The sequence below is a fragment of the Homo sapiens genome, chromosome 5 (assembly GCF_000001405.40).
Source record: "Homo sapiens chromosome 5, GRCh38.p14 Primary Assembly".
In the NCBI taxonomy this organism is placed as follows: Eukaryota; Metazoa; Chordata; class Mammalia; order Primates; family Hominidae; genus Homo; species Homo sapiens.
Window position 1 is genome coordinate 132,369,593 of NC_000005.10, and position 27,824 is coordinate 132,397,416.

Below are 27,824 nucleotides of genomic sequence, written 5' to 3' on the forward strand. Positions count from 1 at the left end.
TCCCCAGCAGGCTTGGCTGGCAGAGGCCGGGCCTCGCCAGGTCCCCAGGACAGGCCCCGCCCGGGCCTCAGGTGCACTCCCGGCCCGCCCCGCGCCCTCGCGTCCCGCCCCAGCTCCGCCTTCGCCGGCGCCGCTCTGCCTGCCAGCGGGGCGCGCCTTGCGGCCCAGGCCCGCAACCTTCCCTGGTCGTGCGCCCTATGTAAGGCCAGCCGCGGCAGGACCAAGGCGGCGGTGTCAGCTCGCGAGCCTACCCTCCGCGGACGGTCTTGGGTCGCCTGCTGCCTGGCTTGCCTGGTCGGCGGCGGGTGCCCCGCGCGCACGCGCAAAGCCCGCCGCGTTCCCCGACCCCAGGCCGCGCTCTGTGGGCCTCTGAGGGCGGCATGCGGGACTACGACGAGGTGACCGCCTTCCTGGGCGAGTGGGGGCCCTTCCAGCGCCTCATCTTCTTCCTGCTCAGCGCCAGCATCATCCCCAATGGCTTCACCGGCCTGTCCTCCGTGTTCCTGATAGCGACCCCGGAGCACCGCTGCCGGGTGCCGGACGCCGCGAACCTGAGCAGCGCCTGGCGCAACCACACTGTCCCACTGCGGCTGCGGGACGGCCGCGAGGTGCCCCACAGCTGCCGCCGCTACCGGCTCGCCACCATCGCCAACTTCTCGGCGCTTGGGCTGGAGCCGGGGCGCGACGTGGACCTGGGGCAGCTGGAGCAGGAGAGCTGTCTGGATGGCTGGGAGTTCAGTCAGGACGTCTACCTGTCCACCATTGTGACCGAGGTGGGTGCCGGCCCCTGCTGGGGCTGAGACCAGGGCTCGGAGGACCTGTCGCGGTCCTTGAACCCGAGCTCCTCTCTCCCAGATGCGCACTGGACGCTGTCACTCCCCCTCCCCCAACGGTCAACACCCTAGCGATGGAGACCCTCCAGCCAGGTGGCTTGGGAACGCTTCACGAGGTGACCTCCAGCCACAGTGTGCTCCTCCCTGCACAGGTGGTCAGTCTGGCCTCCCGTCCTGATGGCCACTTTGAAGAGGGTACCAGGAAGGTCCTGGCGGTCCCTGGGCGATGCTCTATGGCCCTGTGTGTCCAGGACTTACTCTAGTTGGGGTTGGGGGTGGTAAGTAGCAGAGCCAGGACTTGGGCCAGGGGCTATCCCGTTTTTCCTCTAGTCTCTTGATTTCTTTTTAGAAGAGAAGAAATACTTCTCTTTCCTGAACTTTTAAAAGTTAAATAAAGCATGTGTATACAACTGCCTCTTCCCTTTTTCCTCTAGTTACTCCTTCCCCTACCGTCCACAACCCAAAAACGACAATCTGGTCATGCCCTGTAAGTAATTGTTTGCCTTTTCCCATGGTCAGTTGTCAGTCTTTTTTTTTTTTGAGACAGAGTCTCCCTCTGTCACCAGGCTGGAGCGCAGTCGTGTGTTCTTGGCTCACTGCAACCTTCGCAGTCGTGCGTTCTTGGCTCACTGCAATCTTCGCCTTCCGGGCTCAAGTGATTCTCCTGCCTCAGTCTCCGAGTAGCTGTGAGCCACGACGCCCAGCTAATTTTTGTGTTTTTAGTAGAGACGGGGTTTCACCGTGTTGGCCAGGATGGTCTCGATCTCTTGACCTCGTGATCTGCCTGCTTCTGCCTCCAAAGCTGGGATTACAACCGTGAGCCACCACGCCAGGCCGTCAGTTGTCACTCTTTAAGATCCATTCATCTGAAGATGGGTTCAGGGTGACTTGTTGACCTGGAATATTTTCTCAGGTATTATGAGGCAAGGCTGTCGGCCAGATTTAGTTAAAGCATACAGCCTTAGGTCATAGGGTGTAGGGGAGCCTTTCTCATTTCTCATCCCCTTGGATTTTCCCTCTGGGTGGTTTTGTCTGTCCCCTCCGAACCTGTTGGAGCAGTTGTTGGAGCTGGATGTAGGAACATGATGTTAATGATGTATGTGTTTTGTGTCTTTTTTAGACACTGGCACTCTAGCTCCCTGAAGTTTCAGCAGCATTGAGTAAGTAGCCAGTGAATAGCCCTCATTGATAGATAGGCTCACTAAATGTGCAGATGACCAATTCGCAGGTTAGAGAAGGCTTCCCAGAAGAGGAGGCCTCTCCGTGAGCCTAGGGTGTTCAGCTCAGCATAATAGTGAGCTGAAGGCCCCAGTGCAGCAGCAAGAAACCACCCAGCAGGACGGCGGAGTTCACAGAGAGGGGAGAGTTCATAGAGAGGGAGAGTGCCACAGGCCCTGGCACAGCTTCAAGCCCTGCTGGATGTTGGTGCTGAGCCTCCCCTCCTGGAGCCTCAGAGGGGCTTACAGGGGCTCTGGAGATCCCAACTGTGTTGCTTCTTGGCGTCATCACCCTTCAATGGAGTCTGAGAGCTACCCTGGGAGATCCAAGTGTGTGTGCATGTGTGTGTTTTTTCTTTTTGGAAATTTGATGTCCCCAGCATTTGGACCTGCTTTCTCCACATATATGTAGTGGGAGTGTGACCGGAGCCCCACTGGGATTTCTTAGCTAGTGACATAGCTTCAGTGTCCAGAGGCATCATGGCTTGACAAAAGAGGCACTCCTTGGAGGTAGCCAACTGTGCTTTCTGGCCCATGAATCCACAGGAAATTGGAACCTTCAGTTGCCACAAATCCTGGGTCCTAGCCTCACAGGTGGGTGTGTTACCTTCCCGGAAGCCAGTGAGTACTATGAAAGCAGAGGCTGTCCCTGAGGTTGCAGGCAGAGGCCACAGAGGGGAACATGACACAGGAATCCCTACAAATTCTACTTGGGGCTGCCTAAAGAAGAGGGAAGTAGTGAAGCAAGAAGAAGCACATGGCATCTCTTGGAGTTTTACATTGACCCCTGAGGGTTCCCCGGCTTACTCTAGTCACTTGTTCCTGCTTTGCTGCCTCCATCCCACATTGGGCTGAGTGATGGTGGCATTGATGAGCTCCCAAAGGCCAGCTGTGCCAGGGGGTCTGACCTTATCTTGCTGCCAATGTCAGCCTTTTGTTTTTTAATATTTAGACTATTTATTTAGCTGTCTTAGCAGTTTCAAAGGAGTTATGTGCCCTTTCACCTACTTATATGTTGTCAGTCTTTGCAGGGAGGCCAGATTAATGCTTAGATCTTTGTTTTGGGCTACTGGAATGCTTGACTTGAAGTTCAGAGCTGCTTGTTCCCAGGTGAACAGCTACTGCTGGAAGTTGCTGCATCAACATTCTAATGGCTTTTTCTATGGCCTGTTGTCTTTCAACCCAAACCTGGCCTGCTGACCACTGCATCTAGTCCCATGCCTGCTAAATGTCTCTAAGCCTGCCCTCTGCCCCAAATCATACATAAAGGTGTTTGTAAGTACACTGGTATTGAATTACTAGTCATATTTTTTCCACTGAAGACTGGAACCTCAGGTGTCCTGTTTGGATTTTTTTAATTTGTTCAAGTTAAAGTACATACATGTAGTACCAAACTTTGTGGTGGATTTAGATCTTTGCGTCTTCCTCAATTTCTGACACAATTCTGGATGCAGAGGGAGGTTCTCAGGAAAATTTTTATTGAATGAGTTAATGAATAATTTAAGAAATCATCTCTAAAGTTTGAGAACTAAAGAAAAATAGTTCAGTTCTTAGAAGGGAAACTTGAGGGTGGCTGAAAAGGATTGACTGGAATTTTTTAAAGGAAATGTGACTCCCCCTGCCCACTGACTGGGGCTTTGATGCCACATGGATGTGGAATGAGGTGTTGGGATTGGCAGAGGGAATCTGCTAGCAATTAATAAATAAATATTGGCAGGGCGTGGTGGCTCACGCCTGTAATCCCAGCACTTTGGGAAGCCAAGGCAGCAGGTCACTTGAGGTCGGGAGTTCAAGACCAGTCTGGCCAACATGGTGAAACTCCATCTCTACTAAAAATACAAAAATTAGCTGGGTGTGGTGGCACATGCCTGTATTCCCAGCTACTTGGGAGACTGAAGCAGGAGAATCGCTTGAACCCAGGAGGCGGGCTTTGCAGTGAACCGAGATCGAGCCTCTGCACTCTAGCCTGGGCGACAAAGCGAGACTCCATCTCAAAAGAATAATAATAATATTAATAAATAAAAATGATTTATGAGGTAAAAGAGTTTTATGCCCCCATGTTCCAGGAATAGTTTGGTGGTCCACATGGTTCTCGGCTGGCCTCTCCTCTGGCCCCTCAGTCATCCCTGGGGTACTGGGGAATTAGCCAACCCATCATGCAGTGCTTCTTGGCCATGGACTGCCCCATCTGCTGGAAACCTGGGTTGTTTCTGAGGTTGTCTGGGCTGTCCGCTCTTTGGTTTCACCATAGCTCTGTCCAGCCTATGGACAGACAGGTTCCTTGAGAAACTTCCGGCTGGGTGTGGTGGCTCATGCCTGTAAACCCAGCACTTTGGGAGGCTGAGGCAGGTGGATCACAAGGCAGGAGTTCGAGACCAGCCTGGCCAACATGGTGAAACCTCGTATCCGCTAAAAATACAAAAATTAGCCCTGCGTGGTGGTGGGTGCCTGTAATCCCAGCTACTCGGGAGGGAGGCTGAGGCAGGAGAATTTCTTGAACCTGGGAAGTGGGGGTTGCAGTAGCCAAGATCGCACCATTGCATGCCAGCCTGGGTGACAAGAGCAAGACTCCGTCTCAAAAAAAAAAAAGAAAAAGAAAAGAAACTTCCAAGCTGCTCTGCATCGCCTTGCTCTCCACCTGTCTGCTTCTAAGAAGCCCTCGGCCCAGTCCTGGGTGGGACTCCCACTCCCTCCCCATTGTCCTGGACTAGCTTTTCTATCAGCCTTATCTTGTGTAGAGACAGATAGTCTTAGAAGATGGGAGAGCCCTCACTGTTATCCCCAAAGCTGCCTGGAGGAAAAGCCAGAGCAACCTGGGAGCTGGGACCGGGGCTGACTCTGGGCAGCAGAGACCCGAGAGACCTGGAGCTTGAACCTCACTGTTACGCCTTTGTTGATTTCTCTCACTCAGGGGACACACAGACCCTCATCCAGCCTTTTGCAGCTATATGGCAAGGCAGAGAAGCCACTTGCGGGGTCCCGTGGCCCACTATGCACGTACATAGTAGACACATCTGGCCATGAGTGGTCAGATTGAGCCACTCTCTAGCTAGCTGACACCTGTAATCCTGGGTCAAATTTCTGACAGTTGACACAAAGCAGGGGGTCAGGGAGCCAAAAAAAAAAAAAATGGCCAGGTGTGGTGGCTCTTGCCTGTAATCCCAGGGCTTTGGGAGGCCAAGGTGGGCAGATAACCTGAGGTCAGAGTTCAAGACCAGCCTGGTCAACATGGCAAAACCCCGTCTCTACTAAAAATACAAAAATTAGCCAGGCTGGTGGTGCATCCCTGTAGTCCCAGCCACTCAGGAGGCTGAGGCATGAGAATCACTTGAACCCAGGAGGTGGAGGTTGCAGTGAGCCGAGATTGTGCCACTGCACTCCAGCCTGGGAGACAGAGCAAGACTCTGTTTCAAAAGAAAAAAAAGAGTATTCTGGAGATTGAAGTTCAGGAGTTCAGGGTTCATCTCGACTTTGGGCAGCCAAGCAAGAACTAAAGTATACCAAGATGTTGAAGGTTGATACCTTTTTATTTATCGATTCATTCACTCACCTATGTACCAAAGAGCTCCTGAGCCTCTCTTCTATACAGGGGGCACTGCCAGGAGTTGTAGAGGATGTGATAGCAAAGATAGGAAATACCTTTTCTCTTTGCTCTGACAACGGTGGGGCAAGGATTCATCATTGATTTCAGCAGGAGGCAGGATAAAATGTGTGTAGGAATATAGGAATACATGGCAATCAGTAACATGTGGTACCTAGCAGCATGTCTGACTGTTGATACGGTCAGGCTAGGTACATCCCCTCAGGGAAGAACTTCTGTCTTAGGGGCACACACCCTATCTTTTTTCCCTTCCTGCCAATTCACAGGTAAGAACATTTAGTCCCAGGGAACTATGTCATCTCTCTACTTCTCATAACTGAAAAAGCAGTGCCAATTATGTATGAGGTATAGGAGACACAATTCTCCCTCTTTTTAAAAATGTTTAATAGCTTTATTAAGGTGTAAATGACATAAAAACTGCATGTAGCTAAAGCATGCAATTTGGCACACATGTATCTCTACACCCTTGAAACCATCACCACTAGAAAGGTGCATTTCTCCCCAGGAAGAGGGGCAAGTCTAGGCCCTTTGCCAGAGTTGCTCCCAGATTGTTTTCAGGTTGGGCCTGCATTCACAGCTCAGCCAGCTGAAGGGTGACAGCATTAGACTCGTGACCCAAATCTTAAACCCACACATTCCATTTTAACATTGATACCTGTGATCATCAGCCAGTATAGCCCATCCCATGTGCCAGGCGGAGGCATCAATAAGCTGGTCTGTAGCAGCTTTAATCACAGCTGGGGAGCCAGGAGCTAAGGAATGCTAGACTCCTTTGTAAACAATTTAAGTAGGGGGTACTTAGCCTGGACTCTATGTGCTTCTCATCCACCTCTTCTCAGGGAGATTCTGGCCAAGTCCTGGAACCTACTGCAGTCCATCTGGTGGTTGACAGATATGTGGACGGATTGGCAGGCTGGGACCCAATCTATGTTTGCCCTTGTGTTCAGTTTTGAGACCTAGCACCTTTCCTGATCCTGCTCACAGACCCCCTGCGGCCAATAGGAAAGAAGTGTTAATGCATATTTGCTTTTGGAGGGCCCAAAGCCAGGCCCAGAGAGTTGTCAAGGGCGGTCAGTGGTGGGTGGATGGCAGAGTTAACCAAGGAGTTACACACCTGCCTAGACTAAGGACAGGCTGGACCAAGTAGAGAGGGTGGGGCTAAGGGAGCCTGAGAGATGCTCTGGGGCCTATCTCAAAATGAGCACTATAGTCACCCTGTCCCCTGCAGAGATTGTCTGACCTGGTTTTAGGTCACACCCAACCTTGCCAGCCAAGGAGTCTTTAGAAGCCTGATATTGGGAGACCTGTCCTGGGGTCTACAACCCCAGAACTCACTGCAGAAGCCCACGTGGATTGCTAGTCTAGCTCAGCCATATGGGTCCCCAACCCTCACCTCATGATAGTCCTGTGAGAAACCGCTGCTGACCCTTTGTTCATGTTTTCATCTTTTCCACTATAAAAGACATGCTAGCTGGGAAATAGAGCCCATCATACTCAAGAGTGGCAGGAGCCAGGTCCTGGCCCCTGAAGCTTGGCCTCACACACAGAGGCCGGCACCCTGTCATCAATTCCCTCAGCTTTTTCTCCGCCTCCACTCCCAGTCCTAGATTTAGCAGCCATGTGTGGGTGGGGGCCACTGCAGGGATACTTACCCACCTACCAGAGAGATGGCCTGTGGGTGCTGGCCCTTCTGAGGCTGTGGAGGTTGGAGGCTGTGGCAGCCTGGGCAGTCAGGCTGTGGTCCTCCCATGTTCTTGACTCCTGCTAGTCTGGGCTGCCTCCTGATTAGGGGTTGGATGCTCCAGTTCTTCCCTGGGTTGGGGATTGCCACCCTACTCCCAGCCCATCCAGGTTCACGCTTATTCCAAAGCGGAGCACCAGCAGTGTGCCTGCTGCGGGAGTTCTCCGTGTCCAGCCTGAGGGTTGCCTGCCAACCCCTCTGAGAGGTGCCCGGAGGCTGTGCGCCCACACTGCCCAGCAGTGCGGAGAAGCAGGCTTGTTTTTCCCTGTCACTGGCTTGGAAGAGATGCTTTGTTCTAGGGAGCCGCATGTCCCCTTGCCTGCGTTGTTGGTGAGGAGCCAGCAGGCTCCGTGGAGGGCAGGCTAGCAGCCTGGCACCAGGGAGGCAAGGGTCTGAGTTCCTAGGAGGGTGGTTGCTCATGTGAGAAGTCTGCAAAGGTTACTACTGAGCACCATCTCTCTGTCTGAAAAACATTTTTCATTTTTCTGTGAACCACTAAGTTTCCCGTTTGGGCTTTCTTCCTGCTTTTGGCTCTTGTTTAGGCAGGCGCAGCCAGATCCAAGCGTCTGGCTGCTTCCCCATGTCTTCAGACCTCTTTTTCTGTTCATGGTAACTATAGATGGAACCACACATTGGAAGCTGGAAACTCAAGCGGTGCAGCCTATTCCTTACCCCAATCCCTGTTTTACAAATGGGGAAATCAAGGCACAGCATGGGGTGATGCTTATCTGAGGTTGGAAGAGTTTTAATAGTAGAGTGGGAGCTAAAACCCAGTTTCTTACCTCCAAGCTCAGGACTTTCAGCTGTAATTGAGCCTAGTATAGTTGGTGTGCAGCATCAGGGATTCCAGCTCTAAAGGTCACAAAAAGGACCCGGGGGTCATTGGCCCAGGGTGGGAACCCGAGCAGAGCAGGTCCAGATGGTGCACTCTGTGCCCTGGCCTTAGTTTCTTGCTGGATGCTTTGGCCCGTAGAGCCCCAGAGCCCTGCTTCCAGAACCACTCCAGTGACGTTCATGCCAATGGCCTGAACCCCACTGAGCGAGGGTGCCCTGCCTCTTCCACAGCCCTGGGCTCCGCTCAGATTTTTAGGAGCAAGCGTTAGAGGCCTTGCTTTCTCCAGGGTCAGCATGTGGACAGAACACTTACTCTCTGCCTGTCTCTCCTCCTCAAAATGGAAGCAAGACAGTGGGGCCTACAATGCTATGAAAAACAGGATGGGAAAGAAGCCTGCTCTCTGCCTTCCTGCCCAGGTGAGCCATCACCTGACTAAGTGAGTTCACACTCAGAGCGTGTGGGGATGGCAGGATGTTCTGACTTCATTTTCCAGGATGCCTTTGCTTTAAAACCTTTTAAAAAGAAGTGAATGATACACCCCCTTTGCTCATCTTGCAGTGGAACCTGGTGTGTGAGGACGACTGGAAGGCCCCACTCACAATCTCCTTGTTCTTCGTGGGTGTGCTGTTGGGCTCCTTCATTTCAGGGCAGCTGTCAGACAGGTAAGGTGTCTGTCTTCTGGAGCACCAGGGGACCTCAGCACTGAGGAAGAAGCGTGTGCCTGGCCCTTGATTTCAGTTGGTAGTATTCTTTCAGCGCAGGGCCCTGTATTTTAAAGAAGAGGAAGCTATGTCTGTGATATAGACTCCATGCCTAGTAAGAAGAGCCAACAAATCTGACTCCGTAATTCTTGCTAAGTAAAGAAACCTGAGCTGTCTAAGCTGAATGTATCTGTGACCCGGTTGACTAGGTAATATGCCATGATTCACTTCTGCAGTAGCCTGGCTTGCCTCCCCTGGGTCACTGTGACTCTGTCATGCCCCTGAGCATGGGAGAGGTTGACATCATGCACACATGCACATGTGCTAGATTGTAGATCTGTAGTAGTGCCACGGTGTCTGCCTCTGTAGTCCCAAGAAGACCAGCATTCTCTCTGCAAAGTGAAAGGAGCTCTCACCAGCCACTAGTGGTATGAAAAGCAGAACTCTTTTGTCCACAAGGCTGATGCCCCTTAGCTAAGTGGCCTGTGGTTTTGGCATTTACTTTATGACAGGAGGGAGAATAGTGTTTTGATCCATTTCTTATAAGCAGGTTATTTGTATAATTCTAAAGCTTTTAACTCAAGGAAACATTAACGGCTTAGAGAATCCCAAACCCCTCGAAATTATATGCACAATGTTAGAGACTACATGTGAGCATTTTTTTGGAGAGAGGTCCGTAGCTTTCATGAAGTTCTTAGAGGGGTCCATTATGTTGTGTCTTCTTTCCCTGGAGCTTCAGGGTCTGTCAGAGAAGACTGTGAAGAGAGTAGCAGCCTTCAGCAAGTCCTTGGCCACATGACACATGTGAGAACACCCCACAAATCGGTGGGTTAGCCGGTGGAAAGGAGTCCCAGCATCTTCCCTGGTTTTTAATTCCTGGCCTCAAGCAATCCTCCCTCCATAACCTCCCAAAGTGCTGGGATTACAGGCGTGAGACACCATGCGCAGCCAGATATTTTTTATTGTTGTTGTTTTTTTTTGGAAAAGGAGTTTCACTCTTGTTACCCAGGCTGGAGTGCAATGGCACGATCTCGGCTCACTGCAACCTCTGCCTCGCAGGTTCAAGAGATTCTCCTGTCTCAGCCTCCCGAGTTGCTGGGATTACAGGCATGCACCACCATGCCCAGCTAATTTTGTATTTTTAATAGAGACAAGGTTTCTCCATGTTGGTCAGGCTGGTCTCAAACTCCCGACCTCAGGTGATCCACCCACCTCGGCCTCCCAAAGTGCTGGGATTACAGGCGCGAGCCACTGCACCTGCCCAGCCAGATTTTTTTTTAAAAAGCAGGTTAACCTGTTTATTATTCCTACTTTACAGATGGAGAAAGTGAGACAGAGGGATTAAATAACTTGCCCAGGGTTTCACAGCTGGCAAGTGGCAGAGTTAGGATTTGGACCCAGGTAGTCTTGCTCCTCTATTGTGTATGGACTACTGTTCTAGGTCCCTGCTGTCCTAAAACTTGCTTTCTAGCAAGGTGGAATGTATTAAACAACCAAGTGAGGAAGTCGTTGTTGTCCTTGGCCATGGTAAGAGATACAGAGAAGTGCAGGGTGCCACAGGAGTGTCTAACAGAGGAGGTCAGGGGCAGCATCCCTGAGAAGGTGAAGCATGAGCGAGAGTGGGAAGATGAGTCGAAAGTAGCCAGCTGAGGGGTAGAGAGGAGAAAGAACATCCAGGCAGGGAGAATAGCAAGTGCTAAAGCCGGGGCTCATGAAAAGGCATGGGAGCAGGACAAAGTCCGTGTGGTAGAGGTGCGGAGAGTGGTGTTAAGATGAAGGGGAGAGGCAGGCAGAGCCCTGGGCAGATGAGCAACCAGGGCTTAGTGGATCACAGTTAGGACTTTGGGCTTCAGCCACAGAGCAGCGGTGGGCTACTGAGATTTTTTAAAGCAATAGTGTGACAATCAGATTTGTCCTTTTTTTTTTTTAAAGATGCTTTGACAACCTTGTGAAGAAAGAATTGAAGGGAAGCAAAAGGTGTTGTAGAGAGACCAATTAAAAGGTTGTCACAGTAGTTCATGCCAGAGATGATGGTGGCATGGCCTAGCATGACGGTGGTAGAAATGGAGGGAAGTGGTAAGAGGTAAAATCAACAAGACTTGCCGATGGGCTGGATGTCGGAATTGGGGGAAGAAAGCTTTCTGGCCTGAGTAACTGGGTGAATGAAGGTACACTTCTCTAAGACAGAGAATGCTGGAAAAGAACCACGTTCATGGATATTGAGTTCAATTTGTGTGTACTAAATTTGGGGTGACTATGAGACCCCTAAGTGGAGAAGTAGAGTGTGAAGCTGGCTGTATGGATATGGTACTGCATGAGAGGTTTTGGCTAGAGAAACACATGTAGGATTTGTCAGCATATAGAACCCTCAGCAGAGCCCCAGATAGGGATGAGGTTGCCTGGGGAGAGGGGAGTGGGGAGGGGAGGGGGGAACTGGGGGAGGATTGTGCTATGCTTAGAGGCCACCTGAGTGGACATGGGAGATTCCTTCTCACGGAGCTAAGTGACAGCTGCGGCTCAGAAGAATGCCCTTGATGTGAAAAGGAGATACCCCAAGTTCAGAGTAGAAATGCAGTGTATTTTTCTGGGTCAGCTGTGTCATGGGTCAGCTTAAGAACCTTCTTGCCATGTGACACAATGATTACCTGAGGAAAGCATTTAAGTTCCAAAAGGTCTATTCCCAGGGAAACTGGAAACAAAATTTGTGAGTGTGTTTAGGACCACTTTAGTCTACAGAAGGGCTAATATAGTGTTTTTCAAACCTTTCTAAACATTTTGGCCACAGAACTTTCATTAAAGTAGGATAATTTAAGTCTAGTAAATGAAATACACCCTAAGTGGCTAAAAGTATGGCTGTTCTGCCTGCAGCCCCTGCCTTCAATTCCCAATGCCCTGCCTCAAGCCTGTCTGTGCCCCCTTGGAAGGCCCAGGGCCCTGTGGGATGGACAGCTTCTGAGTGCATTACTTCTGAGTAAACCAGTTCTAAAACCTAAGCTAAGTAGATTACCTGAAAGCAATCAATTCATGCCCTAACTTGTCTAGGACATCAATGTAACTTTTTATATAGTATAAAGGTTTCACCTTCTTTCTGGCCTATGAATATGTCTGAAATTCAAGAGCAATTAAAGTACTCCTGGGTTGTCAAAGCCCTTTATGTAACACTATTGAGTTATCTTTATGCGTCTGACTTGTAAGAGATGCACAACTCTAGGAAGAAGTAGACTGCTGTGTCCTGTTTCCAGGTATGTGTGTGTTTGCCATTTTGTTGACAGACTTTAAAAGCAAACATTTCTGGCCCCAACCCTGAACTGCCAAGGACTGGTGCTATGTAAAGGGTTCTCTGGATCTGTCTCTTCCCTACCATCCCAGGGAGCTCTTAGGAAGGGAAAGGGCATAGAGATTATACCAGCCTGCCTTGTGGTTAGGAACCACCCCTTGGTTGGCATATAGAACATGCTTGTTAAAAAAACCATGCAGGGGAAAGTAGAGTCTACTACCAGGCGAGAGTTTCTCAACCTCGACCCTATTAACATTTTGAGCCAAATAATTTTGTTCTAGGGCATTTTCCTGGGCATTTTAGAATATTTAACAACATATCTGGCCTCTACTCATTAGATGCCAGTGAACCCCAAGTGATGGAAAAAAACAACAACAACAGAAAAAAACCTCTTTTATTGAGGAAAAACACCAAACTCTTCCACATAGTTGCAAGACCTTGTGCAATTTGCCTCCTAGCCACCACTGTACTCTTGAATTGCACGCCTGATGCCAACCACACTGGTTCCTCATGTTCACCATGCCCCCTCCAGCCATGGGGGTGTGTGGTCTTCTCAGAGTCTGAAGCATTCCCCACCCACCCCAACCCACCCCCTGTGGCCTTCTTTAACCATGCTGGCTAATTCAGGATCCCTAGTTCCTTATGACTTTCCTTTAAAACGTCTACCAGAAATTGGGGGAAAAAAAGTGTTATTATAGGATTAATGTTGGTCTTCCGCACTATACTGTGAATATCATTGAGAGCTTGGTCCCTACACCTTAAATCCCCCATCGTCAACTATTTTTTCCCATCTCAGTGTCCCATGATCAAGGAGACCCTCCCTGAATGTCCAGTTCCCCAACCCTTACCCCCAGTCCAGGGTAGCTTCCTTCCTTGTGCCTCTCATTAACCTGCATGCCGATCCTTCAGTGCACTTGACTCAGTGTGTAATTGTATATTCAGTAGCGTGTTGTTAGATTAAAATGTGGTTAATATGTGTTTCACCAGTTATACTATGACACTCCTTAAGGGCAGAAACAGCATCTTTTTTAATTTATTGATATCCAAGTGCCCTCTATAATAGATGCTCAATAAACATTGAATGAAAGTGGGTGTCAGCCAGTACTGGCCAGACTCAAACTGAACCCACTGCTTCCCACTAGCTTGACTTTTTCCTCCTGTTTGTGGCACTCTCTTTAAAACAAACCAAAATAAACCCAATTTTAAAAACTTTTTAAAATGAGCACGGATACAGAAAACCACACAGAACAAATGTGTAGCTTAATGAATTTTTTTCAGAGAAATAACCTTATGACCACCACCAAGTCGAGCAGTAGAACTTTGCTGTCCACTAAGAAGCCCTGTCCATGTGCCCCATCCCAATTACAGCATCCTCTCTCTCTCCCCATTAAGTAACCGCTAGCCTGACTCCTGTAATAATCACTTCCTTGTGAGTTTTTTTAGTTTTATTATCGAAATATGCATCCTTGACACAAATTTAGTGTTGCCCACTTAATATATTTGATGTCTTTTAGTCTACTTAATCTATGGATTCTCCTTCTATCGCCTTCTATGCCTTACTGATTATCTATGAAGAACCTGAGCTATTCCACCTATAGAATTTCCCAGTCTGGATTTGTTGATTGCACACTGATGATGCAGTTCAGCACATTCCTCTATGCTCTGCATTTCCTCAAAATTGGCAGTTGGATCCAGAGACTTGAGATTCAGGTTCTGATTCAGGTTCAGTCCTTTTGGCCAGACCATAGGAAGCATGCAATTCCTGACTGTCTCTTTATGATGTTAACAGTAATTAGTATATAATGCATAGATCTATTAATCCATTGGGGGCTATAAATGGTATTATTCTAATTTTATTACCTTTTCATTTAAAAGTTAGAATACTTTTGTACATGATACTACCTCTTATCTATTATTGGTTGCTGTTCACATAGTTTACAAAGGAAAATCAGGACAAATGTTTCTTTCTCTTTATTTGCCAGTTTTCATTTATAATGAATTGTTTCTCTGTTATTCTCCAAATTTGGCAGATTCTTTTTTAAAAAAAATATCATTATGAATGTATGGATTAAATAATTGATGTATTTCAGTCTCTTGCAATCATTATCATAATTGTAGCATTGCTTTTTAGGCAACCCTGGTACCCAGGCTGTACATTTGTCATGGGGAGTGGGGAGGGGGAGAAATAGCATGGGCACTGTGAGACCGAGACTGTCCCTGGCAGCCAGTATTCTGGCAACACTGTTCACACCCACTTACTGGATGGATCTTGAGAAAGCCCCACTTGGTGGAGCCCATTCCTGCTGCCCTTTTCCAGCTGGTTATCTGTCACTCTCCTTTTCTTCCCAGGTTTGGCCGGAAGAATGTGCTGTTCGTGACCATGGGCATGCAGACAGGCTTCAGCTTCCTGCAGATCTTCTCGAAGAATTTTGAGATGTTTGTCGTGCTGTTTGTCCTTGTAGGCATGGGCCAGATCTCCAACTATGTGGCAGCATTTGTCCTGGGTATGGCCATCAGGTTGGAGTTGAGTACTTGATCCTGTATTTCACCATCATCCCATCACCTACCTTTCTGGAGACAACTGTGATGTCCCTCAAGGGGGACAGGGTTTCTAACAAAACTAGCCAGAGCTTCCTGGTGAACCTTACTTACAGGCAGGGAAACTGAGCCAGACATGAGACCAGCCTGGGGTCCCCAGCAGCACAATGGCCTGACTTCTGATTTCCAGTTCTTTTCTGGCCTCTGGGCTGTGGCTCCTTGGTCTTAGTACTTGATGGTCAATTTACTAGGACTCACCAGAGATCCTCCATTTACAAAAAGGGCCTGCCACTGCACAGGGCTGAGCCAGCCCCAGAAAGAGGGCGGCATGGTTGGAGGAGGAGGGGCTGTGACTGGCAAGCTTGCTAAGGTAGAGAACCCCTTGTCTGCAGAGCACTGTGGCTGGTGATATCTACGGACAAGAATAAATTGATAGGAAGGGGCTTTCGTCACCTTCAGGGTTTTAATTCAGAGTGCACACTGCAGGGCTTTGTCTCAAATGTGCCAGCCTGTTGTCACTGAGAAGCTGCCAGGCCGGCCTGTGTTTGGAGGAACCTGACTCTAGCTGATAAGGCCTTTGAGTTCCTTGGGTTGTATTGTTGAAAGGGTTGTTTTTTCTTTTTATATTTAATATTCTTTCCTTGAGGCTTAAGTCAGCATGTGCTGACTTAGTAATGACTTCACTTTTAATAAATTCTTCCTCATGTGAGGATTAAAGGGGGCCTACCATGGCATCTTTAGCACATGGCTTCAGAACATGGCGAAATTTTCAAGAGAGAACTGTTGCTTGGGGGCCTGAGAGGCCACAGGGATGTACCCCCAGGAGACAGTCAGACAGGAGGGGTTCAGAACGCCATCCGCTCCCTAGCGCCATGAACTTAGAGAGAGTTCTCGCTGTTTTCTTGTCTGTGTATTCACAAAGATACCATAAAAAATTAATAAGGAAGGAACCCAAATTAAACTGCTAACTCGACCTCCCTTGTTTTGAACAGGGACAGAAATTCTTGGCAAGTCAGTTCGTATAATATTCTCTACGTTAGGAGTGTGCATATTTTATGCATTTGGCTACATGGTGCTGCCACTGTTTGCTTACTTCATCCGAGACTGGCGGATGCTGCTGGTGGCGCTGACGATGCCGGGGGTGCTATGCGTGGCACTCTGGTGGTGAGTGTGACCTTGTGCCCCATGTGCCCACTGGCAGGATGATTTCTGTCTGGCCTTCACTAGAGGGCAGCAACAACCCATGAATCCCTATTTTGTCTCCCAGAGACAGGAAGCATAGATTATAAATTATTTCAGAATGTTTTCTCCACACTCAAAAGAGCCAAAACAAAACAGAATCCCATGACAGCAACAGACTTGCTCTCAGCCCTGTGCTGGGTTGCCCCAAGTGTGGGGAAAAATAGCAGTAGCTGTGAGAAGATGGGGTCCAGCATGCCCTGTAGGAAGTTCCCAAGCCTCAGGGCAGGACAGTGTAGGCCCTAGTTCTGGCTGTGTGCTGCTGAAGCCTCATGCCACAGGCACTGGCACCAAAAGCAAGAGTCCTCAGGGTAGCCACATGGAGGAAGCCAGGCTCCTTCTGCACCACCAAGGTAGAGGAGTTGAACAGGCAGAGAAGAGGCCATTCCAGACCAAGAGGGGAACACTGCAGAGGTGCTAAGGTGGGAATCACCCCTTGCAGGTGGAGAAGGTGAGATCACCAGCCCAAGTGGAGCAGAGAGCATTTCAGGGCATAGTGGGAGAGTAAGCCGCACATCATGGGGCCCAGTCATGACCGAGGGTGGGGGGCGGCTACCTGGTCCCAGCAAGGTGGAAAATAATATCCATAGAGCACTCAAGTGCCTTGATAAACATGCTAATTTTTTTCCTTTTTTTCTTTTCTTTTTCTTTTCTTTTTTTTTCTTTTTTTTTTCTCAGACAAAGTCTCTGTTGCCCAGGCTGTAGTGCAGTGGCGTGATTTCCACTTACTGCAACCTCCGCCTCCCCAGTTCAAGCGATTCTCATGTCTCAGCCTCCCGAGTAGCTGGGACTACAGGTGCCTGCCACCACACTTGGCTAATTTTTTTTGTATTTCTTTGGAGAGACGGGTTTCACTGCGTTGGCCAGGCTGGTCTGGAACTCCTAGCCTCAAATGATCCACCGGCCTTGGCCTCCTAAAGTGCTGGGATTATAGGAGTGAACCACTGCACCTGGCCAAACATGCTATTTTAGGTAGAGTATCTGACTAATCTGTTGGATAAATCAGGGGTAGGGTGAGGAGAGAAGAGAAGCTAAAAGGCCAGTGCAGAAGCTTCTGTTGGTGCCGGGGACAGGGAGGAGAGTGTAGCAGGGCCTGGGCTGACATAGACATGCACAGAAGCCAGGCTTCCGGAGCCCATCTTGCACCCATCTCCTCAGCCCAGCAGATGGCAACACTGCTCTTCAGAAATGGAGGTGGCCAGCCAGCATGGGGATGCCGTCAGGGGGTGCAGGGCTCTCCCATTTTTGTGCGGTGTGGGGTACACATAAGCTCATCCACCCCAGGTTATTGCTGCGTGTGGATCAGCTCTTTGCTTCTGGCTTGTGATCACCAAACATTCCACAAGCTCTGGTTCTGCAACCTTATTCCCACCTATGGCTGTGCTCTACCTGGTCTGTGGGTCTGCTGTTGGCAGGGAGGCCTCACTGAGATTGGACCTTGTACTGCCAGGTTCATCCCTGAGTCCCCCCGATGGCTCATCTCTCAGGGACGATTTGAAGAGGCAGAGGTGATCATCCGCAAGGCTGCCAAAGCCAATGGGATTGTTGTGCCTTCCACTATCTTTGACCCGAGTGAGGTAAGCACCATGTGGGTGTGGGTGAGAGGGACAGACTGACCGTGATTTGAGAGCAGCAGCACCCAGCCCTGAAGTCCTCCCTGCTCACAGCAGCCCAGCCCTCTCTCCGCCCAAGCCCCAACTGCCCATTCCCCCCATCCCCCCACTCCCCACCCCCACACGGGCCCTGTTAACACTCAGAAGTTGAGGAATAGGTTACAGCTGCCTCACTCTTTTCACCACGGGTTTCAGATTTTCATTTTTTACTTCCTTTCTAGGCAATCATATATTTTAACCATTACTTCTAACAATAAATACTCTTTTTGAGTAATAGGCCTTTCATAAAGTCAGCATTTGGGAAAATCATTGTTTCTTATACCTAAGGTGGCTTGTCACCTTACAAAGCTAACCCCAAACGTAAAATGTAAAGCACAAATAGATTTGGAGTTAGAAGTATTTCATCTCTTGAGTATTAGCAATTATTCATTAAAAAGAAAAAAAAAGTGTTTAGTCTCTTTCTGCCCTCCAATGGTTAATTATTGCATATCATCTTGGAGTCAGGTCCTTTTTGATGTCCACCTCTTCCCCCTACCCCACCCCTCCCGTCAGCCCTGTTCTCACACACCATGACTCATTTCTTGGCTCTACCTAGTTCCTGGTTCTTGCTTTTCCTTCCCGTTCCCTCTCCTACCATCTCTGTAGCAGGCAGTTTTCCTTGGTCTCGTGACTATGAGAGGTTAGAAGCTGTAAATGCTGCCTGGTGGGGTTCTGGAATGTGTCTGTGGTCTGACTGGAAGATGAGGGGTTGGGTGTGGGAACAGCCACAAGCAGCCCTGCTGAAGTGTGAGAGGCAGGCATGGTTGGGCTTGGAAAAGAGGGAACAGTTATTGTAGACAGCGGAGGCCAATGGCCACTGCCAGCCCTGCAGACTTCCCAGTGAGTGGTGGCCCAGCAGCCACTGTCAGCATGCACCAGAAAGGGGTCCTGTGCGCAAAGGTCAGGCAGGAGTGTGGCAGAGGGCTTTTAAGTTAGGTGGTTTTGGGGGCTTTTAAGTGAGGGGTCAATCTGGGTGAATGCATAAGCCCCACTGGCATCTTTGAGGAAATGAGGCTATTTCAGGGGATACTTTCAGTCCAAAGTTGACCTTTTGTTGAACTTCTAACTCTGGAAAAACAAGCTCCAAACCTGGGTTTGCTTAAGAAAGCAACATCAGTGTGTTTAGACGTGTGGTTTATTAATGGCCTTGGCTGTGCTGAATTTCATAGGAAGTCACTCTGGGTGAAGCTCAGGTCAATTTTCCTGTTTTTCTATTTGAATTCTTTTTCCCTGGAAGCACACCAGTAACTACATAGTATAAGGACTCAAAACATTAACTTTTAAAAAATATCAGACCAATAAACCACACAGCCAGGTACTCTCTCTGACCCAGAGGGCAGGGAGCCAGGCTTCGGGAGGAATACTTAGAGGCCTCCTTGGAATGTGGCCACCGACAGGAATATGTGGGGGTGCAGTGAGGAAGCTGTCAGCCTGGGCCTCTGTCTTCCTGTACCCTTGAGGGACTGGTCACTTACTTTTCCTCATTTTCATTCACTCTGATTTGTTACTGACAAGGCCTAGGGAAGTTTTCACAGCCTAAAACACAGTCAGTATACTTACTGTTCTTAGAAACGTAACACTCCCCGACGCTGAGATGCAGACAGCTAAGATGCCAGGGATTCAAGTATGTTATTGTGTGCTCTGAGTCTCTGACCACCTCTTCTTCCCATACACTTATGATGTTGTTCCTGCAGTTACAAGACCTAAGTTCCAAGAAGCAGCAGTCCCACAACATTCTGGATCTGCTTCGAACCTGGAATATCCGGATGGTCACCATCATGTCCATAATGCTGTGGTATGTAAAAGAGACCTGCCTGAGGCTTCCAGACAAAGCTTCTTGAAGTGGCCATTGGGCCTCTTGTTTACAGACATGCCTCAGACAAAATTCAAAGCCTATGTCATCAGAGAGTGAAAAGGATATGTCTTGTGTTAGATGGAAAAAATGGGCATGTCACAATTCTTAATGGGATGGAACCTCAGAAAAGGAGAATGAAAACAATTGTGGAGGCTGTTGTGGGAAATATGGACTCTTGTGGGGAATCTCTCCAGATCTTAAGATGAATCCTTGCCCAATTTGGGTCATTTAGTTCCCGTCTCCTACCCAGTTACCGACAGTGGCTGAGGAGGCCAGGTAGGGCTTTTAAGAAGGATCTGAGTGAAGACACCATGTCCTGTAGGCTGCAGAGGCTGCCAGTTACTTTCTGGAAATGTGGAAGTGGGATGTGCTCCTCCTGGGATGTCCATAAACGGTCCTGGAGTCAGGGCTATAGCCTAGATGTCCTTACCAGGTTCCCACTAATGAGGCAAAGTATGTCAGAAAGGGATTTGTGAATTACCAGGGAGAGGAAACATGTCCAAGTGCACATCGCTAGCTTTTGCTCAGCGGCCGAACCCTGGGATTCTAGGCGACTTCTGGAGCCTGGTGGGTTAGCGGTGAGAAGATGGGCGAGGAGGGCGGACTTCATCTCAGAGTCCTTATTACTAGTCTCATCCAGCTTTGAGGCAGTCAGCCACTGTGCCTACTGAGGGAGTGCTATGAGTCACCCGCTTCCAAGGAATGGCCCAGGATCCCTCCAGGCAGTTCACCATTCCCTGAGTTGGCCTCAAGACAGGAGCAGCATGTAGCCTGCACCACAGACATGCAAGCCTGTGATGAGTCACCCACTTTTGTGTTCACCCAGGCTCTCCTCCCTGCTCTGGATTTCCTGGGGACTCATGCACATACTCTTTTTATTGTACCAGCTGTGTGTTCCACCTGCAGATGAGTCAAAACAGTCTAATCCATAAAGGTCTGGTTTGTCAAAGAGTGTGGGTCATCAACAGAGAGAATGCCTACTGGGGATGCCCAGGTCAGGGGTACTGCAGGGCATCCTGATGAGAGGCAGTGTGGCCCCTCCATTGGGAGCCACCTCTGTGCTCCACAAGTACCGCGGGGCTGGTGTCAGCTGTCTCTGACCAGCCTCTTCCTGACTGGTCACCACAGGTAGTGTGTGAGGGTCTCTCTCCAAGTGTTTGACCTAATGTTGTTCCTTTTGTTATCTTATCCCCCAAATCCTATCACACCTCACTTGATGTCTGCCTCCTGACTCATTCTCTAGCTCCTTCTGCAGTTGCTGGATTTGAGGAGGTTCAGCTTAGGATTTTTAAAGCTGAAAGGCAGGTTGGAATTTTTCTTTTCAATGAAGTAAATCTATCTGAATTATACAAGCTTTTTTGCTGGGACACTGTCTATATGGAAGGCTCTGAGAGCGCACTGGCGCAGGGTTTACACTGTACCACTTGGGCTGGGGAAAATTATCTTTTGATCTATGAAGTAAGACGCAGGGTTACAGTTACTGCTGCCTTACTAGTCTCTGCTTAAAGATGGTTTGGAATTTACTGAAATAATTGCATTGTAAAAGTTGTACAGGTTGGGAAAGATGTGGATACTGCTTTTCCAGCTTTCTTCTGCACTCTGTTTCAGGATGACCATATCAGTGGGCTATTTTGGGCTTTCGCTTGATACTCCTAACTTGCATGGGGACATCTTTGTGAACTGCTTCCTTTCAGCGATGGTTGAAGTCCCAGCATATGTGTTGGCCTGGCTGCTGCTGCAATATTTGCCCCGGCGCTATTCCATGGCCACTGCCCTCTTCCTGGGTGGCAGTGTCCTTCTCTTCATGCAGCTGGTACCCCCAGGTAGGGACCATGTGCATCTATGGTTTGGGGTCTTCACTGAGTCTCTTACTGTCTACCAGGCTGTCTCAATTAATAAAGAGAATAAAATCAAGCCCATCACAGCTCCCTTGCTTATATACATTCTTGGCCTAAAAATCAATAGAAAGTGTCTTCTGAGACTAGAACACTTATGGCCTGGGCTTTGAGGGAGTGGGAAAAAGCAGCCATTGGGGCTGTTGGTTAATTTTACTCTGTACCCAAGTTAATGTGCTCATACTGTTTTCCACTGCAGAAGAAGAGGGAAGAAATAGCTATCCCATTCCTTTTTTTCCTGGCCCTGTCTTCTTTATTTATTCAACAAATAGCTATGGCATGCCTACCATGGGCTGGGCACTGTGCTCGGTGATAACGATACACAAGAAAACAAGCCAGGCAGAACCCCAGGCCCTCATGGAACGTACACCCTAGATGAGAAGACAGACAACAAACAAGTAAATAAAATGCTTAATATAGTTCAGACTGTGTTACCTTCTAGGAATACAAATGAAGGACAATGCCGAGTTAGTTTACATAGTCACAGATAGTGTCCCTGAACAGGGGGCAGTTCAGTAGAAATGTACATAAAGTGACAGAAAGCCCTGAAAAAGTCTAGGAGAACATTTTAGGAAGAAGAAATGGCAAAGGCAGCGACCCTGAGCAGGGGATGAGCCTGGCATGTTTGAGGAGGAGGGAGAAGGGGAGGGGCCAGACCACTGAGAGGGCCTCACAGAGCCTTAGCAGGATTTTATTTCTGAAACTATCTTAGTATCCCACAGATGGGTGGGAGGTAGCCATTTCCAATAATTTATAGAACAGTTCATGGGCCCTCATCTCTCCCTCTCCATCACTGTGCCCAGAGACTTCAGTGTACCTGTAGATTTGGGAGCCTCTGATGGTCACTTTTGGGCCCATCAGGCTGAGAACACTGCACGGGAACAGCTCCCCATGGGATGTGGCAGGAGGAGCCCAGAACTGATGTAGAGGCTCACAGCTGAGCTCAGAGTGACCTTCAGGTCACACATAGCTCTCCCATCAGCACAGCACAGAGAGATTAGAAGATCAACTTGAGATTCTGATGGCCTATGATTTTTTTGAGGTCTGAGTGGGAGGAAAGCATGAAATGAGTTAGAACTGAATTCTCCATTCATCTAAACATCATGAGTTAATTCCATAGTGCCTGCAGTGTGAGGTTCTGGGGTGACAGTTAATCCCTGACAGACATGTCTTTAATGACTTATAGACTGGGAAGCAGGTTGATTGGACTATTAAGGAGCTTACTCTGGTGGTCTCCAGGTTGAGGAAAGTGCATGTCCTTATAGCTGCAGGTCCCAGCCTCCTTTCAGCAATCAATTTGGAGGGAAATCTTGGCTATAGCCCCTTCCCCCACAATAGGAAGTGATAGAAACTGACTCCCCAAAAAATTTGGGAAGAAAGTATGTTTGTTTTGCTCTCAATAGCTGCATGCCATGGGTTGGTACCTACTCCTACCCTCTTTCCTTTGCTTCTCCAGACTTGTATTATTTGGCTACAGTCCTGGTGATGGTGGGCAAGTTTGGAGTCACGGCTGCCTTTTCCATGGTCTACGTGTACACAGCCGAGCTGTATCCCACAGTGGTGAGAAACATGGGTGTGGGAGTCAGCTCCACAGCATCCCGCCTGGGCAGCATCCTGTCTCCCTACTTCGTTTACCTTGGTAAGTCCCATGAGCCAAGGGCACACTAGAGCAACGGGATGGAAGTACTAACTGGCTTGAATGTGAGCTGGAGGTTGCGTGTTAACAGGAAAACAAGTTCATACAGTACATGGGCTCCATCCAGTACTGGATCTTTGGCCGGGAAGGGTTCTTGTCCCAGTGCACTGGCCCTCACTTTCAAATGGAAAACAACCTATAGATTACCTAGAAATTGATGAGAATATTAGAGGGTTTGTTTCTGTTTTAGCCATCCCAGGCCTTCCATCAGAGACTACAATTCCTTTATCCTAAGAACCTACAGAGTGGTTTAGGGAGCCAGTGTGCTTAGTTGGAGAAATTTCTTGGAATCAGAGTTTAAAAGGAACATGAGGGGAAAGATGTCCATGCAAGAGGTCTGATGAACGGAAAATTATTATAACCTAGAGCACTATAGAGTGATTTTATCTTGTGTGAAGATCCACCCCATGCCATTTTATGTAGCAGGTCTCCAGTTTTCTCTTCTCAGAATTATGTCTTCATAGCACCTGTGGTTTCCTGCACATCCCTAGCCAGTACCTCTTTAGGGAGGGTGGCACCCACCTGAGAGTACTCAGAGTGCTTTGTGAACATGCTATGTAGATCTCAAAGCAAGCAAAAGCACCCTGCCTAATCTGAAGGCAGATCACATGGGCTGGGACACATCTGCAGAGGTGGAAGAGTTATTTCCATCCCTGGACAAGTACCTCAGGTTCCTTGGAAACCCAACCTTGGTAAATAAGAATAATCAGCATGGCCCAGAAATAGGAATAATCAGCATGGCCCAGCTCTTCTACTGCAACCGCCCCTTTGTACTCCTCCCCTGCATGGTGGAACACTGCTGGGCTCTGGGCATGCCTGTGCCAGCTCTGGGTTCTGAAACCTGTCTAGATGCCAGATTCTAATCTGACTGCTCAGACTGTGAGAGATGTGAGACCAAGAAGGAAAGTGATCCCCTTCCAGAGTCCTGGGAGCATAAAGGGGTAGATGAGAGACCAAGTCTAACTGCAGCCCTGGGCCTGAGGCTCCGTCTGCTTTGCCATAGGTGCCTACGACCGCTTCCTGCCCTACATTCTCATGGGAAGTCTGACCATCCTGACAGCCATCCTCACCTTGTTTCTCCCAGAGAGCTTCGGTACCCCACTCCCAGACACCATTGACCAGATGCTAAGAGTCAAAGGGTAAGAAGACCTCCTCTGTCAGTGTTGATGCACTGGGTCTGGGTCTGGCCAGGTCTCAGGAGCCCCTCACAATAGAGCTACTCGCAAACTCCCTCTCACAGACACCATGGACTAGTTTAGCCATTAAAGGGTTGTAAATGGCAAGGTGCTTACTTATAGCCCATCCTCTCTGGTCTGTTCCTGTGTGGACATGTCACTATACACATCTCCATGGCAGTAGCCGCACTGGATAACTCAGAGGCTAGAAGAAACCTTTCAGAATCTGCTGCAGGATTCTCTTCCCAGGGAAGATATCCTCAGTTCTTGTTTGTTTGGAGACTGGGAGGCATCTTTTTAAAATGTGTTACTGACATATTTTTGCTTGTTTTTATAGAATGAAACACAGAAAAACTCCAAGTCACACAAGGATGTTAAAAGATGGTCAAGAAAGGCCCACAATCCTTAAAAGCACAGCCTTCTAACATCGCTTCCAGTAAGGGAGAAACTGAAGAGGAAAGACTGTCTTGCCAGAAATGGCCAGCTTGTGCAGACTCCGAGTCCTTCAGTGACAAAAGGCCTTTGCTGTTTGTCCTCTTGACCTGTGTCTGACTTGCTCCTGGATGGGCACCCACACTCAGAGGCTACATATGGCCCTAGAGCACCACCTTCCTCTAGGGACACTGGGGCTACCTACAGACAACTTCATCTAAGTCCTAACTATTACAATGATGGACTCAGCACCTCCAAAGCAGTTAATTTTTCACTAGAACCAGTGAGATCTGGAGGAATGTGAGAAGCATATGCTAAATGTACATTTTAATTTTAGACTACTTGAAAAGGCCCCTAATAAGGCTAGAGGTCTAAGTCCCCCACCCCTTTCCCCACTCCCCTCTAGTGGTGAACTTTAGAGGAAAAGGAAGTAATTGCACAAGGAGTTTGATTCTTACCTTTTCTCAGTTACAGAGGACATTAACTGGATCATTGCTTCCCCAGGGCAGGAGAGCGCAGAGCTAGGGAAAGTGAAAGGTAATGAAGATGGAGCAGAATGAGCAGATGCAGATCACCAGCAAAGTGCACTGATGTGTGAGCTCTTAAGACCACTCAGCATGACGACTGAGTAGACTTGTTTACATCTGATCAAAGCACTGGGCTTGTCCAGGCTCATAATAAATGCTCCATTGAATCTACTATTCTTGTTTTCCACTGCTGTGGAAACCTCCTTGCTACTATAGCGTCTTATGTATGGTTTAAAGGAAATTTATCAGGTGAGAGAGATGAGCAACGTTGTCTTTTCTCTCAAAGCTGTAATGTGGGTTTTGTTTTATTGTTTATTTGTTTGTTGTTGTATCCTTTTCTCCTTGTTATTTGCCCTTCAGAATGCACTTGGGAAAGGCTGGTTCCTTAGCCTCCTGGTTTGTGTCTTTTTTTTTTTTTTTTTAAAACAGAATCACTCTGGCAATTGTCTGCAGCTGCCACTGGTGCAAGGCCTTACCAGCCCTAGCCTCTAGCACTTCTCTAAGTGCCAAAAACAGTGTCATTGTGTGTGTTCCTTTCTTGATACTTAGTCATGGGAGGATATTACAAAAAAGAAATTTAAATTGTGTTCATAGTCTTTCAGAGTAGCTCACTTTAGTCCTGTAACTTTATTGGGTGATATTTTGTGTTCAGTGTAATTGTCTTCTCTTTGCTGATTATGTTACCATGGTACTCCTAAAGCATATGCCTCACCTGGTTAAAAAAGAACAAACATGTTTTTGTGAAAGCTACTGAAGTGCCTTGGGAAATGAGAAAGTTTTAATAAGTAAAATGATTTTTTAAATAACAGCAACTGCCTAGAATCTTTATTTCTAGAATTTAGTGAGCCTGTGCCACACTGTCATCTGCCTTTTCTCTGTATCAGCTTGGGCTAATTCTAGCAATGGTTGGGATTAATCTCTAAGACTAAGATTTGATTCTTGTGCACTAGAATTCTTCACTTTATTAATTGACTATGGGCTGAGCCAGCCTTCTTGCACAAATGTATCTTGGGTTCCCTTGAAAGTAGAGACTGAGACAAGTGCTTCTGTGCAGTTAAGCAGTTTATGCTTTGGGGACAAGATTCCAGGGAGCAGCAATAAAGGACAGGAGGAGAACAGGGAAGGAGGGAGGCTGAATACAAAGATGCATTTTCAGGTTGACTAGCACCAAAGGCAGGGATGCTCCATCCAGCAAGGACTTCAGAAGAAGCTTATGAAATGCATCTCAACACCATCTGTACCTTGAGTAAAAGGGGGAAGCATTTCTCTGTTGGCATCCATTTGTAAAGGCAGCCCACAGGTGTCAGCTCCACATGTTTCCAGGCTGCACATGCATGAGTCCCAAATAAGTTCTGTCCCGTGGGTAGAAAGCAAGAGAGAATACATTGCAGGGCTGAAGTAGGGGTTGCCAGAGCCCATCAGAACTGGTCACTGCAACAGTGGCTGGAGTAAGTGGTGGGCTGAGAGGATTGGGGGTTGAGTGTGGTGCACAAGAGGTGTCTTAATCTATATACAATTTGCACAGGGCATTTTGGGCTAGAAGGTGTGGATGGACCTGGGTAAAAAGCTCCAGTGTTGGATAGAAACTCAAGGGCATGTTGCATAACAAAACAAGCAGCATCAAACTTGGGGGAGAAGGAAGGCAGCACGTCTTCTGGAACACTGTTGGCTTCTCCACTCTCCTCAAACATGGTTCTGTGCTGGACTACTGATTAACTGTCTTCCCAGGGGCTCTAGAATCTGAATTGCAGTTCTGTCTACCCATTGTCCTGTAGCAGGAGTGAATAGTTTCTGCATTTTCTCTCTTATTCTCCATGCCACTGATTCCAGTCATTTGTGGCCTTCTGAGGGCAAAAACCATAATTACCTGAATGCTTAGAGCTCTTCATGTGGTGAGGCAAGAGCCCAAGTCACTTCCAGGGTTGAGCCAAGCATGTGGAATTCCAAGTCCTCTGTCTAAGCCTGTTGGATTCGTGTGTGGCTTGTTTCCCTTAGAGCCATGACTTTGGGAAGACTGAGTGTGTTATCAGACCAAGGATCTCCTCTGCTCCAGGAGAGAGGCATACACAAACTGTAGCCACAGGGGCAGAGTTGGTGAGTGATGAGGTGTTCAGTTAATGTGTATAACTAGAAACCAGCATACCCACAGAAATATAAAAGACAAAGAAAAGGAGGTGGAGGAACAACCCAGATTTTCTTAAAAACCAGTTTCCTGCCACAGATCAAAGTAAAGGCAAAGATTTGCCATACCATCTTTTCCTATTCTTGGAAACTAGTTCTTATCTCTGTCAGGGTTCCCTGAACATTCTCATGGATTCCATAAGGCTGTTGTTTGTCAAAGAGAATTATTCTGCTTAATACCTGGTCTAAGTGACGGTCAATGAGGTGGGCACAAGACCCTATTCCCTGCCAGGTAGTAAATAGCACAATAGAACTTTCTTCTGGGGGTTTGTCTTTTAATTCTTTTCCTAAAGGGCTTTTAGGCTGATAGAGGCTTGATGCAATGCACTGGCAACACCTTATGTTCTATGCCATTGCTTTAAAAGCACTTTGGAAAATAAAATCTCATGAGATTAACAGAGGATGCACTGATGACAGACACAGGTTTCT

The 27,824-nt window shown here is 48.3% G+C and overlaps 1 protein-coding gene and 1 long non-coding RNA gene across 9 annotated transcripts in view, besides 5 other annotated features; one reads left to right on the forward strand and one right to left on the reverse strand.

The window, feature by feature from the left end:
• Positions 1-320: a silencer, noted in NCBI's record as "silent region_16317". NCBI's record gives its function as "represses an Ori minimal core promoter by ATAC-STARR-seq in GM12878 lymphoblastoid cells {active_cell/tissue: GM12878}" and the evidence as "EXISTENCE:reporter gene assay evidence [ECO:0000049][PMID:35858748]".
• The window catches only part of MIR3936HG (MIR3936 host gene), a 58,641-nt gene extending 58,317 nt beyond the window's left edge, over positions 1-324 (reverse strand). Inside the window, exon 1 of the long non-coding RNA NR_110997.1 lies at positions 252-324. This is a non-coding gene — a long non-coding RNA (MIR3936 host gene). The remainder of the gene's footprint in view (positions 1-251) is intronic.
• On the forward strand, positions 118-26,020 carry SLC22A5 (solute carrier family 22 member 5). Of its 8 annotated transcripts, NM_001308122.2 has the most exons (11): positions 118-773; positions 8,572-8,643; positions 8,786-8,889; positions 14,555-14,709; positions 15,736-15,907; positions 17,433-17,559; positions 19,329-19,429; positions 21,098-21,312; positions 22,841-23,023; positions 24,084-24,219; positions 24,593-26,020. In NM_001308122.2, exons 1-11 carry the CDS (start codon positions 381-383, stop codon positions 24,678-24,680), a joined length of 1,746 nt encoding a protein of 581 aa, NP_001295051.1. In that variant the 5' UTR covers positions 118-380; the 3' UTR covers positions 24,681-26,020. The 8 variants fall into 8 exon arrangements, with proteins under 8 accessions (NP_001295051.1, NP_003051.1, XP_016865267.1 ...); NM_003060.4 differs by lacking the exon at positions 8,572-8,643; XM_017009778.3 differs by lacking the exons at positions 8,572-8,643; positions 8,786-8,889.
• Positions 7,011-7,512: an enhancer, noted in NCBI's record as "H3K4me1 hESC enhancer chr5:131712295-131712796 (GRCh37/hg19 assembly coordinates)". NCBI's record gives its function as "activates a minimal SCP1, AML or CMV promoter by ChIP-STARR-seq in primed H9 embryonic stem cells {active_cell/tissue: H9 hESC(primed)}" and the evidence as "EXISTENCE:reporter gene assay evidence [ECO:0000049][PMID:30033119]".
• Positions 16,026-16,355: an enhancer, noted in NCBI's record as "active region_23068". NCBI's record gives its function as "activates an Ori minimal core promoter by ATAC-STARR-seq in GM12878 lymphoblastoid cells {active_cell/tissue: GM12878}" and the evidence as "EXISTENCE:reporter gene assay evidence [ECO:0000049][PMID:35858748]".
• Positions 16,849-16,898: an enhancer, noted in NCBI's record as "active region_23069". NCBI's record gives its function as "activates an Ori minimal core promoter by ATAC-STARR-seq in GM12878 lymphoblastoid cells {active_cell/tissue: GM12878}" and the evidence as "EXISTENCE:reporter gene assay evidence [ECO:0000049][PMID:35858748]".
• Positions 17,039-17,248: an enhancer, noted in NCBI's record as "active region_23070". NCBI's record gives its function as "activates an Ori minimal core promoter by ATAC-STARR-seq in GM12878 lymphoblastoid cells {active_cell/tissue: GM12878}" and the evidence as "EXISTENCE:reporter gene assay evidence [ECO:0000049][PMID:35858748]".

Coding starts and splice junctions, on each gene's coding strand:
- SLC22A5 (NM_001308122.2), top strand. CDS start 381: ATGCGGGACTACGACGAGGTGACCGCCTTCCTGGGCGAGTGGGGGCCC. Junction 21,313..22,840: donor CATGCAGCTGGTACCCCCAG/GTAGGGACCATG, acceptor TTGCTTCTCCAG/ACTTGTATTATTTGGCTACA. Junction 23,024..24,083: donor TCCCTACTTCGTTTACCTTG/GTAAGTCCCATG, acceptor GCTTTGCCATAG/GTGCCTACGACCGCTTCCTG.